The following is a 13,852-nucleotide window of genomic DNA, read 5'->3' on the forward strand; positions in this document are numbered from 1 at the left end:
TGTTTTAAGAAACCCTGAGATCCAAATGTAGGTTTTTATTAAATTAAATACATTTGCAGCACAGGAGGGTTCCTCATTGTACAAATTATTCACTGCAGGATTCCTTTACAAAAATAGCTCCTCATCCCGTGCAATAAAAAATATTATTCTGCTTACAAAAAGTTGCTTTCCATATAGCTTGAGAACACACTGCCCGCATCATGAATGTGGACATGGATCCACACAGGAGACGGGGGGCTCTGGTTCACCCTGGAGTCCTGGAAGACCCCTTCCCCCCTGCCTCCAAACGGATGAGGTTGGGACAGATTTTCTCCTCTGATCTGAAACGTCGCTGGGATCTCTGTCAGGCTTTTTCTTAGTGCGCTCTACAGACCCTGCTTTCCACAGGCAAGCCATAAAAACAGCAAAGCAGGGATGTGCGTTGTAATAGATTCACTTTTTGTTGGTGAACAGTGACGTCGAGGTTTCTAGGTTGTTCCTTCCAGAACAAGAGACTCAGGACCCAGTGAAGAGTGTTTGGGTACAGGCTTCTGTCAGCATGGGGCAGTGATCCGGGATGCAGGCTGTGTGCATAGCTGGAGATGGGGCAGGTTGGGGGGCTTCTGGAGGGGAGAAGGGAGGAAAGAGAAAGGGTCTCAGAATGACACTTGAGTTGATTTCACACTGAGCTGACAAAAAGCAGATGTAAGAAAACACAAGAGAATCAAGCTAGAAATAGGATACATCCAAGAAGGAAAACAGATCCTAAAAACAACCTGACCTTTCAGTGCATTCATCATTTATGTAAAAAGTCAAAGTGTCGTGATATGATTTTAAATCTATTTTATCTAGACTTTTGGAGGGGAATGGTTATTTGGTCAAATAAAAAGTGGTTGCAAGTGTAGGCAGCCACTGGAATTGAAGGCAGTGTTGTAGCTCAGTTCCAAATCTTCTGTGAAAATGTCCTGTTAGGGCCTGAGCACGGCCGGGCAGGACGGCAGCCTGGGTCTCAGTCCCACATGTGGCCAGATCCTGCCAGCTTCCCATGTTCCTCTAGCTACCAAAATCCATTTTGTCTGTAATTCTCCTTCTCTCCAGAGAAGGTGTTGATAAATGAAGTGGTAAGGAATGCAACTAACCAAGGAAACCCAAACTATAGACATGATGCCAAACAAACATTGGAAATCCAAACAAGTGTTTAAATACTAAACCCCTTACCATGTTTAATTAAAATCTCCCAAACTAGGATCTAAAGGACCTTAGAAACATACTCTAAAGAGAGTAGAAGAGAGGATCATCCACGTTTGTGGGCTAGAGCAGCATTTCTCAGCTTCTCAAACACCTGCGGGCATTCAACTCCCCCAGGATCTCAGCAAAATGCAGATTCTAATTCAGTAGGTCTGGGTTGGGGCCTAGGATTCTGCATTCCTAACAAGATTCCTGGGGATGACATTGCTGCTGGCTCCTCTAGTTCCAAGATTACATTGCTCTAGTTAAGTTGCTCCTGTAGCAAGGGTTGAGAGCAATTTAATCTAAGGACTAAAGGAGCTGCACATATTAGAGACACAGCTTCTGATCTGAGGCTTGGGATATGCAGAAAAATGGTGGCATTAATGGAAGTCTGCTCAGATCCATGCGATTTTCAAGATGTAAGCACACACACACACACACACACAAATATGTGCGAGCTTACACACATGAAGGTATCTATTTAAAACCCATGCTACAGATTTTTATCCATACCCTACATCACATGGGTAATAGATTCAATCTGGAAGCTTGAACATTCATCCTGGAAGTTTCTTTTTGAGTCTCAGTCACAAGGGTAACTTTTAAAAGCAAATTTCTAAAATACAGTCTGATATACAGGCATTTACACCTGACTCCTGACTCGTGACTCTTTTTCTTTTTTTTTTTTTTTGAGACAAGGTCTCACTCCCATCACCAAGGCTGAAGTGGAGTGGCACGATCATGGCTTACTGCAACCTCATCCTCTGGGGCTCGGGTGATTCTCTCACCTCAGCCTCCTGGGTAGCTGGGACTACAGGTGCCCACCACTACACCTGGCTAATTTTTTGTATTTTTAGTAGAGAGGGTTTCATCATGTTGCCCAGGCTGATCTTGAACTCCTAAGCTCAAGAGATCCACCGGCCTCAGCCTCCCAAAGTGCTGGAATTACAGGCGTGAGCCATTGCGCCCAGCCACGCCTGACTTTTAATAGTCCTGACCTCAACAGATGGGTACTGGGGTTTTTAATTGATATTAACACACTCAGGTGCTCATAGCCTGAGGCCCCAAAACGAGTGTGATTATCTCGTTCTTCATAAGCCAGACAGATGTTGACTGCCAGCAACATGAAGTATACCAGGCCTTATGGAGGGGAAGGAGATTTGAGAATACTAGGTCAAGGTCAGCTCCCAAAACACCTTCTCTAATCGCTCAATAGTTAACTGATGTCTTGAATTATCTTGGAGCTTAAAGGGAGGGGCTATCCTCTTTCTCCTCTAATCATGTCATGTTTATCTTTAAACTGAACAGACTTCCACCGAAAATATGATCTACAAGTAAGGTAAGTTAACAGGGCAGTTTCTTTGCATATCAGCTTTATTTAGAATTTACATTATGTTTTCATTTTTCTATCAAACAGTTGACCTAGGCTCTGAATTTTAAAAAGCAGAACATGTGGCCCAACAGGAGCCCTTGCCCAGGATCATTAGTCATTTATGTAAATAAATGACTTTCTAGGGAAGGAGCAGATGCAAACTCATGCTGAGCCTTGGGGACGCTGGGCCGTGGCTGAGGGTGCAGCCCCGTGGCCTGTATCTTGGGGATATGTAGTGGGGTGCCCTTTAGGGCCGACACAGCTAGCCCGTGCCTTACCACTGGACAGCAGCCCAACTTCGGGCATGGCACCAGGCCTCACTCAACCTCAGTTTCCCTAGCATGATCATATGTACTTCACAGGGTTGCCATCCAAATGGGACGAGATGTTATTAGTAAAGGGCCAGCATGTTGCAATCCCTATCCATGTGACAGTGGATGGTGGTAAAGCTTCTGCTGCCCAGAAACTTCCTTCCCTCAAAGGGTTTTTGACCTATTTGCAAGTTGATACTCCTCTCTGAGGCCTGTTTTACAAAACAAGGGAAATCTGCTGCCCCTACATATTGTCTAAATTCCTGCTTTCTGATTCTCATAACCTTCTTTTTCACACATGTGGAGGAAATTATTATCTGTACCCAATATTATTATTATTATTATTATTATTTCGAGAGAGTCTCCCTCTGTCCCAGGCTGGGGTGCAGTGGCACAATCTCTGCTCACTGCAACCTCCGCCTCCCAGGCTCAAGTGATTCTCCTGCCTTAGCCTCCCGAGTAGCTGGGATTACAGGCATGCACCACCATGCCTGACTGATTTTTCTATTTTTAGTAGAGACAGGGTTTCTCCATGTTGGCCAGGCTGGCCTCGAACTCTTGACTTCAGGTGATCCACCTGCCTTGGCCTCTCAAAGTGCTGGGATTACAGGCATGAGCCACCGTGCCCAGCCCCCAATATTATTTCAATGTCTTATTTTACCCACTTTTTTAATGGTGCTTTTGGCATCCTAATTAAGAAATCTTTGCCTTGGCCAAAATCATGAAGTTGCCCTCCTATATTTTCTTCTAAAATTTAAATTGTTTTATCTTTCTCATTTAAGTTTGCTCCGTATCTGGAATTAGTTTTTAGCAATGTAATTTTAAGTATTAATTTGCCATTCAAATATAATTTAAATATTAATTTGGTAGTATTTGTCATAATTTTTGTCTTTTTTGTTTTCAAATAAGAAACCAGGAATTTAGAAAGTGCCAATTTTCTGGGTGGAAAAGATTACATGCACTAAAATTATAATATTGTGCCATATTAGAATAGTCAAAATGTCAGAAAGGAATTTTTCTATTTCATGAGACTCAAGAAAAGTCAATTTGCCATAAGTATTAATTACATACATAGAAAGAGAATGCTTGTATGAGATGAATGAATCATAGTGACTACTTATAACATTGAGGCTGCTTTAAAGGATTTATTCACCCATTCAACAACATTGTATTGATATTTATATTATAAATATATATTCATAATAAATATACATTTATTGAAAATATCTATGTCTCATATAGGACAGTCATACTTGTTATATTCATTATATTTATTTGTACATGTTTACATATTCATTAAAATATATTACATCCAAAACATTGATATCGATGTGTCTATGAAGATATGTAATTTGCTTGGGGGAAACTAGGGAGATTCCAAAAATCACTCAGCATTACACAGTGACATTTGAGGACAAATTTGATGATGCCGTTGGTATGCAATGTCAACTTCATTCCTTGCCTCTGTGCTTTGTCATTATTTCAAAGCACTGTCTTCTAGGTCACAGTGTGACTCCATGCGCACCAGAAAAGATGTCTGGTCTTAGTCTAGCATGAAAGACGTGGCATATGTGGTGCAGCTGTCACCAACATCCTGAGTCAGAACCAGAACATCAGAGACTGAGTTAAGACACACGCAGCAAAGCACAATTTCTCCCACTGGGAATTGATGTCAGATACTGGATTTCAGATGACCAAGCTACTAAGCAGGAAAGCAGTTTATTTATCCTTCTTTTGAATATGAAGATGAATGAAATCATGAAGTGACATGGGAGCCTTACGTCAAAAGCAAAACTATTTGCTGTCCTATTTACAGGGCCGCAAATCACTTTTTATTCCAAGCAATAAATGCTATCATCATCCGTGATCCTGGTGTGTTTACGGTGAAGCAAAAATCATGCTGCCTGAAGGAAAGTGTTCGGCGGGGGGAATCAGGGTTTCCATGTTATAAAGAATGGGGCAGGGCTAGGAGGAACCTGAGTACAGTTTCCAGCTGAATTTGAACTGCCAGCAGTTATTGAGACAGATAGAGCTGTCCAGTTACTCTGAAAACATTTAAAGTCTGTCTTTATTATCATCCAAATAAAAGTCTAAATTTCACATCCACGTGGTCTGTGAGCATCTGAGAGCACCCATATTTTCCTCAAACTCACTTTAACCAAAGCTCCTGGGGAAGACGCATGACCCAGAATACTGGCCCACACATTGTCTTGAACATGGTGATTGGAACTGGAAAACCTTCTTCAAAGCCAGGATTACTAGCCAACTGTAGCAAGCGCACAGGAATGTCACCATGGGGTATGCAGACGGTGTCGCCCAGGAAAGAATCGTGCCCACGTAGGGGCTACAAGATGCTATTTGGCTCCACTGTTCATGCCAACATTGAAAACACCTATGAAAAACCCAGGTTTTGCATAACTGTAATGCATTCTAAGCCTCTCTGCCTGATAATCATTTACCTGTATGGCTTGCTTCTTTTAACTCTAAGTTAGGAATCATAAAACTCAGACCTTGGCTCAAGGGAGGAGGCCCACATTCTTGTGCACAGCTATCTTCCACTGACCGCTTCAATCGCCCATCATATGTTGAAAAAGAAGAGTTTGTTTATGCCCTCTTTTATGTAGTGTTTCAGGTTCTCAGCATCCGAAGTTCATTATTTGTTGATTTGTAGCAGGTGTGGTCTAATCCACAGCCAGCCGAGCCAGTAGGGTCAACCCCTAAAAGGACAGAGAAGCTCTGGGAGCAGCCTCCCCTTGTTCTTAACTGGTATCTTGATTAAACTAAACAGAAAATGGAATGAAAGCTGTTAAATCCACCTGCTCTTTACGCTCATGTCAGTGGGAAGACCTCATTCGGCTTGCAAAACGTTCATGTCCTCCAGGACCCTGCTGGCCATCAAAGACAAATATTAGCATTCCTTTCTCTTCTGTGATGGGGCCCTTCAAAGCAAAAAAAAAGTCCTAATTAAAATTCTAGAAATATTACCACTTGAAAAACTGCATTAGCATTAGTGAATTTCTCATGCAAGTTCCTTTCTGGCTAGCTTGGCCAAAAAAAAAAAAAAAAAAAAAAGCTGTTAATTTTCAATGCAATTCCATGAACTGTGGTTCCTTGTTCAAAATGTATAGCAAAGAAAATGGAAACTGCCATAATGACTTATATTGTGGCCAAAACTCTTCCAACTCTGGTAGAAAATCACATTTCATTTCTTTGGCGGGTGAGAGAGGCAACACAATACATTGGAAATGAGAGAATGGAAGAGTCGGATGCCATGTTTCCTTCTAACTAGGATTCCAGTTTTCACCCACATCACTTCAGCAATGCAAAGTGGCATAAAAGCAGGTCACCGCACAGTGCCTGAGCAGTGAATGCAAATACAGTACTTGGTTCCTGACCACAGCATGTGAAAGCACATAAAAGAGAGAGGGTCGCATTTCATGTCGATTTTGCTTCTCCATGACCAGGCTACATGGAGGCTGAGCAGCCGCTGGCTGCCTTGTTCATCTCTTTGGCCCTTGTCTAAATCACAACCTATTTCAGCATGGAAAACGAAGGAAGAAACATCAGCAGACCATTTTCCAAATGTCGATCGTCTGCTTTAATTGTGGTTGTGCTGATTTTGTTGCTCTTGGCAAAATCTTGTTCTCCCTTCAGTGCAGCCGAAAATACTAGGTTGTATCAATTGCCATTGAAAACAACCCATTTACACGTCAGACAAAGGAAATAAAAATCGCTGACACTCTGTTTTGCAACGACAAATTAATTTGCCCCAGAATGGCATGTTTGCCACCAATCTCATTAAAAGTACTATGAGATTATCAGGAAAAATTAATACAAGCTGTTGGTTATCAGCGACATCATTTCAGCTCACAAAGGCAAGTCCTAGTTGTCAGTTTGCTGCTGGGGGCAAGGACAGGCATTTACAAAGAAAGTCATATTCAATTAGAAACCATAGCTGGAGCTGGCATTTGCGGTTCCTCTGCACCGGATCAGCTTGAAGAACAATTGCACTGCTTCTTTTTGGCTTGAACTTGAAAGCAAGGGCATTTATGGCAGCAAGGGGAAACAAGTCCTTTCTCAAATGTGCTTATGAGAGAACAGAGAAGTCTGCTTGGAAATGTGGAAACTGAGGCTCTATGGCACTGAGCATGCTCAGGAGACACAGGATTGGATAACTATTAAAAAGTGTCTTGGAACTATTCATCTACAAAACATGGGGCTGGATGAATCTGCTGATGACACCTCCCTCCTGTCTGTGTGCTTAGGTCCCTTCAGAACCTCTCCCCAGGTGTCAGTCCCATGATCTCTGCGCATGGCTCTCAGGCATTGCAGGCTCCTATTTAATGTCTGGGACACTCATTGACAACGACCACACTGATAGCCTTTGTGTGTCTTCTGGAGCATTCATTTATCAAACCTCTATTGAGCAATAGTTCTGAGCCCAACACCATTAGAGTGTACAGTAATGAGCAAGAACATCAAAGAAAGAGAAATTCTCTTCAAAAGCATTTTATTGCTAAACAAATTTCATTTGGTCTCCAACTTTCACAGATTACTAATCTAGGCTGTGGGTTGTTTCTGAGTTATATTCATCTAGCAACGTTCAGGAATCACCTGTTTTCCAGTGATTCTGCATAAGCAGCTATTGTATGTGCGCCTCTGCTCCTCCTTAGACCAGTACAGACAGTTTGTAAAAGTACAAATTTGGTCCCTGCTATAGGTGCCAGCACGTTAAAGGACCAAGGTCCTTCCAGGGTATTTATTAATAAAATTATATATATATAAAATAAATAAATGCGGTTTCACCATGTTGGTCTCCAACTCCTGACTTCAAGTGATCCACCCACCTCGGCTTCCCAGAGTGCTGGGATTACAGGCGTGAGCCGCCACGCCCAGCCTAAAGATATATATATATTTTTAAAGACATATACGGAAGTCCAGAGCAGTCTGTGTCCCTGCATCAGATTGAGCCTTGGTTAGCATTGGCTTGCCTCTCCTGCTGGACCTTCAGATCCTGGGCCGGGAGGGTGGGGGAACATGATGTGTCAGATCATGTCCCCATAGCACTTTGCACAAAACTTCACTATGGTAAACATCCAAAAAAAGGAAGTGTTGACTGTGAATTTGCTTCTTTATCCTCTCTGGACTCTGAATCCCAAGATCCACGATTAAGGCTTAGGACTCTCCATCCTGCAGCATTCCCTGCTTTACACTGAGAGGCAATGGGAGGGACTGGGCCTGGGCAGAGGGATCCAGGAGCCAGTTGCGTAACTGGCCTGAGATGTGCGTCTGAAAAGACTTTTTGCAGGCAAATGTGGCTCCAGCCTCCTGCTGCCTCCAGGCAGTCCTCCCTTCCCAGTCTGGGAGCCTGGCCTGTTCATGCTACACTGTTTGGTTTTGGCTGTGGCCTCCACCCTGGTGCAACCTGTGCATCTAAGGAGGCTCAACTGGAGGAATCCAGGCCCCTTCCCAGGAAAATGTGTTTGTTGGTGGCAGATAGCCAGGCTGACAGAGGTGTTCCCCCTCAGGTGAGGGGGCCTCATGGCCACAGCACTAATGGGGGGTAGGAAGGGGTTCACGTCCGCTTCCTGAGCTGAGCTGCCTCTGTAGCACCTGTGCCTCCTCTAGGGCGGCATCCTACTTCCAGTTCATTCTTGATCCCACAGAATGCAGGGACAGGGCACTAAGTGTTCAGCTCTGCTGGCCTCAGCCACTCGCTCTGAGCTCCCAGTGGTATGAGTCTGTCAGAGACACTGGTACCAAGAGGTCCAACATGTGACACTTCCAAGCAGTCAGTGTGGAAGTTTCTCACAACAGTCCAAGAAGAAGCAAGAACAACTCTCTTGGGCTGGAAAGGATTAGAGTTGATCCAGGCGCACAATCTTCAGATCCTGCCTTCAATCTTGGCCTCAGGAGACAGAGCCTCCCATCAAAGGACAGAGCCACCAAAACCAACTCCATTTACAGTATTCCAGTGGCTTCTGTGAGCCAGAAATTTCTAGAAGCTCTTGAAGGGCCTTTTGTGGCAGTGCACAAGGCTGAGTTGTCACAGCCCTACTTGCAGAGGTGGTGAACCCTGTGAAGAGCCTCCATCTCAAAGACACACACTTTGGAGAGCAGTAGACCTTGCAGGGGATGGGGGATTCATGCCCCCGTGAAACTGGGATGACGTAGAATTATGGAAGAGTACCTGTCCCTGAGTGTCCTTGAAAGTCAAGCAATTAAAACAGATGCAATCCCTTTGGATGGAGATGCAGCACAGCATCATTGCTGTGGAAGTCCATGGTACAGGGGTGGCTGGCAGTCACAGCAGACTCTGCAAAATGGGACTCCATCCTGGTTGGCTTCTAAGGATCAAGGTAGACCATTCTTACAATAATGACATAGAATAAGAGACATAGATACTTCCTCGGTTGAAAGAAACACACTGGCAGCTAGTACAGTGGAGAACATCTTCTCTTGTTCATCCTAGAGAAAGTGTCCCCGGGGTCAGGGGACAAGGCTGGGCCAGAGCTGCTCTCAGTTGAATATAAGTGAGTGGTGTTTGAATTACTGTAAGCTGGAACTCAAAAGCTCTCTGTGATTCATAAAGCAGCTCTTTTCATATGGGTTCCAAATTTCCTTTTCTGTTCATTCAACATCCTCTGACAAGCTCTCTGAACTTCATTCTGGCTTAAAAATCTAAGAAAGCCATGATAGTGAATACCCATGTCATGACTGTTTACCCTCAGTCCTCAGACTCGCCCTTCCCTGCTGAGGTGCCGCCCTGTGGAGAGGGATTAACCTCGAATGAGACGGTGGGACAGAGACCGATGCACTGTTGTGGTCACGGTTCCATAGGTGTGCTGTGTTTTTTCTCAGCATACCCATTTTAGGCTCGTGCGGTATCAAACTTTTCTGCCAGTAAGTAGAAAAGGCAATTTTTGTAAAAACTGAGAAACAAGTTGCAGGCGAGAGCAGATATTTCAGAAATGACTCAGAATCATGTTTTGCTAGAAGAATGCTAATGAAATACAGAGCGCATATTCATGAAACTGATAACACTCCCTCGGAAAGAAAATGACTCTTATTAGACATCTGAACTTGAGCAAAACATTCATGTCATCGATTATAATATAATGGATGGCTCCTACTCTGGCAGCAAAATTTAGCTTTAATGTAACTACAGAAGCAAAGATTATTCTTGGGGGAATAATGACAGAGTGTATCTTTCTGATCATCTGAAGCAGTTCATTCACCTCTGAAACTGACTGTAAACCTCAGGAAAGAAGCTTCTCAGAAATACATGACCCACTAAGCTAAGAGCCAACTCCCTAGTGAATCACCTTCCACACCCGTGACCTCAAGTCCAGGACCCGTGTAAAGCTAGTTTTTACCATGTCTTCTATGACTGCTGGGGGATGGTACACTATCATCCTAGATCCAATTACAAACAGAAAAAAGCAAAAAACAACTAAACCAGCTACTACTGAGCTTGAGCATGACTAGCACTGAACTACCTAATTTCTGACTGTTACAAATTAATCAAGTCACAGCACATTTGCGATTCATATCAGCTACCTAGGGCGTTTCTGTAGACAGCTAACCCATTTGGGAAGCAGTCAGCTAATACTATCTGGATGTCAGATGCATCTCATGTTTTGGCAGCTCTTTATAGTCTTTCAAGGGGATTGTGTTGACAGGCACTTGCCCTTCAACTTGCTGCTCTGTTTGGCAGCGGCTCTGTTTTCAGTCTTGCCTTCACTGCACTTGAGGATTTTCCACAGCCATGCATGGGGATGTTCTCGTGTAAGAGGGTCAGACGGGCAAAAATCCGGGAAGAAGGTAGGTGCATTCACAAAGCCATGCCTGGAAACTCTAGATCAGAGGGTGGACTCAACTCCTCCCAGAATCCAGAGGCTTGAAGTTGAGGTAGCTTAATCTCAGAGCGTACCTCTAGCTTCTCTAGGAGCAGTTTTTGGAAGGATCAGAGTCAGACTGCAACGCGGGCTTCAAACAACAGGAAAAGTCATTTAAAACCAAGAGTAATGAGAAGGGTGTGAATATTGGGAGGGTTTTTTAACTTCGTGAATTGGGTGTGATTTTTATTAAAATCATTTCCTAAAATCATGATGATTACGATTATGTCTATTAAAAATAAGAGTTCATATATATTTAGAGATATATACTAAAATATTTACAGATAAAATGATACAATGTTTAGGATACGCTTTAAAAAAATTAGAATGGGGCGAGATTGGGTTGTAGCTGAAACATAATTGGCCATAAGTTGATCATTGTTGAAGGCAAGTGACAGATGGGAGCTCATTATAATTTTCTCTATTTTGGTGTATGTTTAAGATGTTCTATGATAAAAAGTTAGAAATGAAATATGAGATATATGAATGCCTTTCTCAGAGACAATTATCTAATTTGAAACTCAGTTTCCTTTAACTCAAGATTTGTTTGCATATATCTAAATCACATGGTTTTTATCTTGCAAAAAAGAAACCACAGCTTTAAACCCGGGCTTCTCTTCTCGGTTCTGCTTTCTTCCAGGGATTCCAAGCGACAGGGCACATGGTACAATGCCTCCCATTCAGTAGATGCACCCCAGAAACATTGTTATGTTGCCCTCACCATGAAAACCACTCTTCACTGAGCACTGGCCGTTTAATGGGCCTGACGTCATATTGCCACGTGAAGCAGCCAGCCCTCTACTTTTGAAAACACCCTTTAAGGAAATGATTGCAAAGCTTGACTATAAAATATTTTCAGATATTTGAATGAGAAAACAAAAAGCCATGGTTCCCCACTGAGAGACACAGAAAGAACTCCTACAGCTCTGCCCCCTCCCCACACAGACCAGCCCTCCTTCCTTGAGGACAGGACTGACTAGGTCTGAACACAGCAGGTGCCCCACGCATGAGCTGAACTCCACTGAACTACAGCCAGTCACACAGACTGGAGGGTCTTTCTGTGGGATTCTCCCATTCCCACTGAATCCTTCCCATAGGCAAAAGGTAGTTCCCTAAAACAAATGAGAACAGCTGGAAGGGATCTGTTTACTGAATCAAGAAAACACTTAAATCTATTAACTGAATGAAGACAACTGAAAAACAAAACATTCCTGAAGGATTAAACTCTGCAGAAAGAAGCTGGCATTTGCCCAGGACAAGGACAGGCATCCTTTACAATGCTTATCTCAGTTAGAACAGCCTTGTAGGTAGACAGGGCAGAAGGATCTCTGCTGGGTCAGCCTAACAGGAGCAGGAAGGGTCACCTGGTGCAAAAACAGGGGAGGAAAGTTTCTGACCAGCTGATGTGAAAGCAAAGTTGGCCAGAGGTCACGTGAGGGAAGTCTGCTAGGATGCCTGTCTCAGTCTGTGTAGTTTTGCTATGAAGAAATATCTGAGGCTGGGTATTTACTTTTAAAAGAGGTGTATCTGGCTCATGGGTCTGCAGACTGTACAAGCAGGGTGTCAGCATCTGCTTCCAAAGAGGGCTTCAGGCTGCATCTGCTTACGGTGGAAGGTGAAGGGGAGCCCTGTGCAGAGATCACATCATGAGAGGAGAAGCAAGAAAGAGGACACGAAGGTGCCAAGCTCTTTTTTTTTTTTTTTTTTTTTGAGATGGAGTCTCGCTCTGACGTCCAGATTGGAGTGCAATGGTGTGATCTCGGCTCACTGCAACCTCCACATTCCAGGTTCAAGCGATTCTCCTGCCTCAGTCTCCTGAGTAGCTGTGATTACAGGTGCACGCCACCACACCCGGCTAATTTTTTTTATTTTTTTGTATTTTTAGTAGAGATGTGGTTTCGCCATGTTGGCCAGGCTGGTCTTGAACTCCTGACCTCAAGTGATCCACTCTTTTTAACAACCAGCTCTCACAAACTAACAGAGTGAGAACTCATTCTCCCTCACCCTACCCAGGGAGGACATTCATCTATCATGAAGGATTCACCCTCATGACCCAAACACCTCCCATTAGGCCCCACTTCTTAACACTGGGGATCAAATTTCAACATGAGATTTGGTGGAGACAAACATCCCAGCTCTAGCCATGCCCACCTGCTGAATGCTTATTCACTGTGAACAACTGCTGTCTTCTGAAAAAGTTGTGAAATGCATTTTGTGAAAAGAATTCTATTTTGAATGCCCGAATGGAATTTAATTTAGAGGAAATCTGTTGTGAGTTACCTTCAAGAACTGCCAGGTTAGCTGTGTGACCTCAGGCAAGTTATCTAACTTCTCCATGCATCAACTTCCCCATAGAAAAAGCAGGGAGAATAGAATAGCAGTGCCTACTTCATCAGGCTGTTGTGGGAATTAAATGACTTGACACATCTGAAGGGCTGATGATGTGATGCTTGAGAGACGCGGGATACAACCCTTGCAGCCCTTGGCAGGCTGACGGTGCAGGCACTTTCCCTCAAGTATCTGGGCCCTTCCGTGCCCCAGTGCCACCTGCCTCCCCAGAGCAATTACCAATCACATCAACAAGGGCTACCCAGGGTGGTCACTCCCCTGCTCAGCAGTTCTCTGCGTCTGTAGCTACCGTGCCTTCTCAGCACCCCGCACGATGTGTACCTCCTAGAAGTCACTCAATGAGCATTTGAAGTGAACAAACACCTGGCCGGATGCTAACCTGGAGGGTCAGATTTTACACACATGACTAATAAAGACCGTCCTGCCAAGTCTTTTTTAGTGAACTTACACAGCGCCACACACAGATAGGGTCCTCAATGAATAAATATTCCTGGGCGGATAAAATGGGACTTCATTCTATGTAACAAAAGTTATGCCTTTAAGATCTTTCCGTTCAATTTCCAGACAGTTTTGTGAGCTGGGGGGTCTCCCTCCAGACTCTGGGGTGCCCCAGCAAGCCCAGGTTCTGCGCTTGCCTGACCCAGGCCACGCTGGCCCCGGGGTGTCCTGTGCCAAGCTGGGATAGAGCCTCTCTCCCCCAGCAAGTGGACGGC

General features: G+C 44.0%; 1 long non-coding RNA gene across 1 annotated transcript, besides 2 other annotated features; it reads left to right on the forward strand.

Moving 5' to 3' along the window:
• Positions 8,308 to 8,807: an enhancer, noted in NCBI's record as "H3K4me1 hESC enhancer chr2:112289353-112289852 (GRCh37/hg19 assembly coordinates)". NCBI's record gives its function as "activates a minimal SCP1, AML or CMV promoter by ChIP-STARR-seq in naive H9 embryonic stem cells {active_cell/tissue: H9 hESC(naive)}" and the evidence as "EXISTENCE:reporter gene assay evidence [ECO:0000049][PMID:30033119]".
• LOC124906066 (uncharacterized) lies at positions 9,031 to 13,567 on the forward strand. The gene is made up of 2 exons (XR_007087190.1): positions 9,031 to 10,716; positions 11,431 to 13,567. It is a non-coding gene; the product is annotated as an uncharacterized LOC124906066 (long non-coding RNA).
• Positions 9,310 to 9,811: an enhancer, noted in NCBI's record as "NANOG hESC enhancer chr2:112290355-112290856 (GRCh37/hg19 assembly coordinates)". NCBI's record gives its function as "activates a minimal SCP1, AML or CMV promoter by ChIP-STARR-seq in naive H9 embryonic stem cells {active_cell/tissue: H9 hESC(naive)}" and the evidence as "EXISTENCE:reporter gene assay evidence [ECO:0000049][PMID:30033119]".
• Positions 13,568 to 13,852: the final 285 nt, after the last annotated feature.

This window comes from Homo sapiens, chromosome 2 (assembly GCF_000001405.40).
Source record: "Homo sapiens chromosome 2, GRCh38.p14 Primary Assembly".
Taxonomy (NCBI): Eukaryota; Metazoa; Chordata; class Mammalia; order Primates; family Hominidae; genus Homo; species Homo sapiens.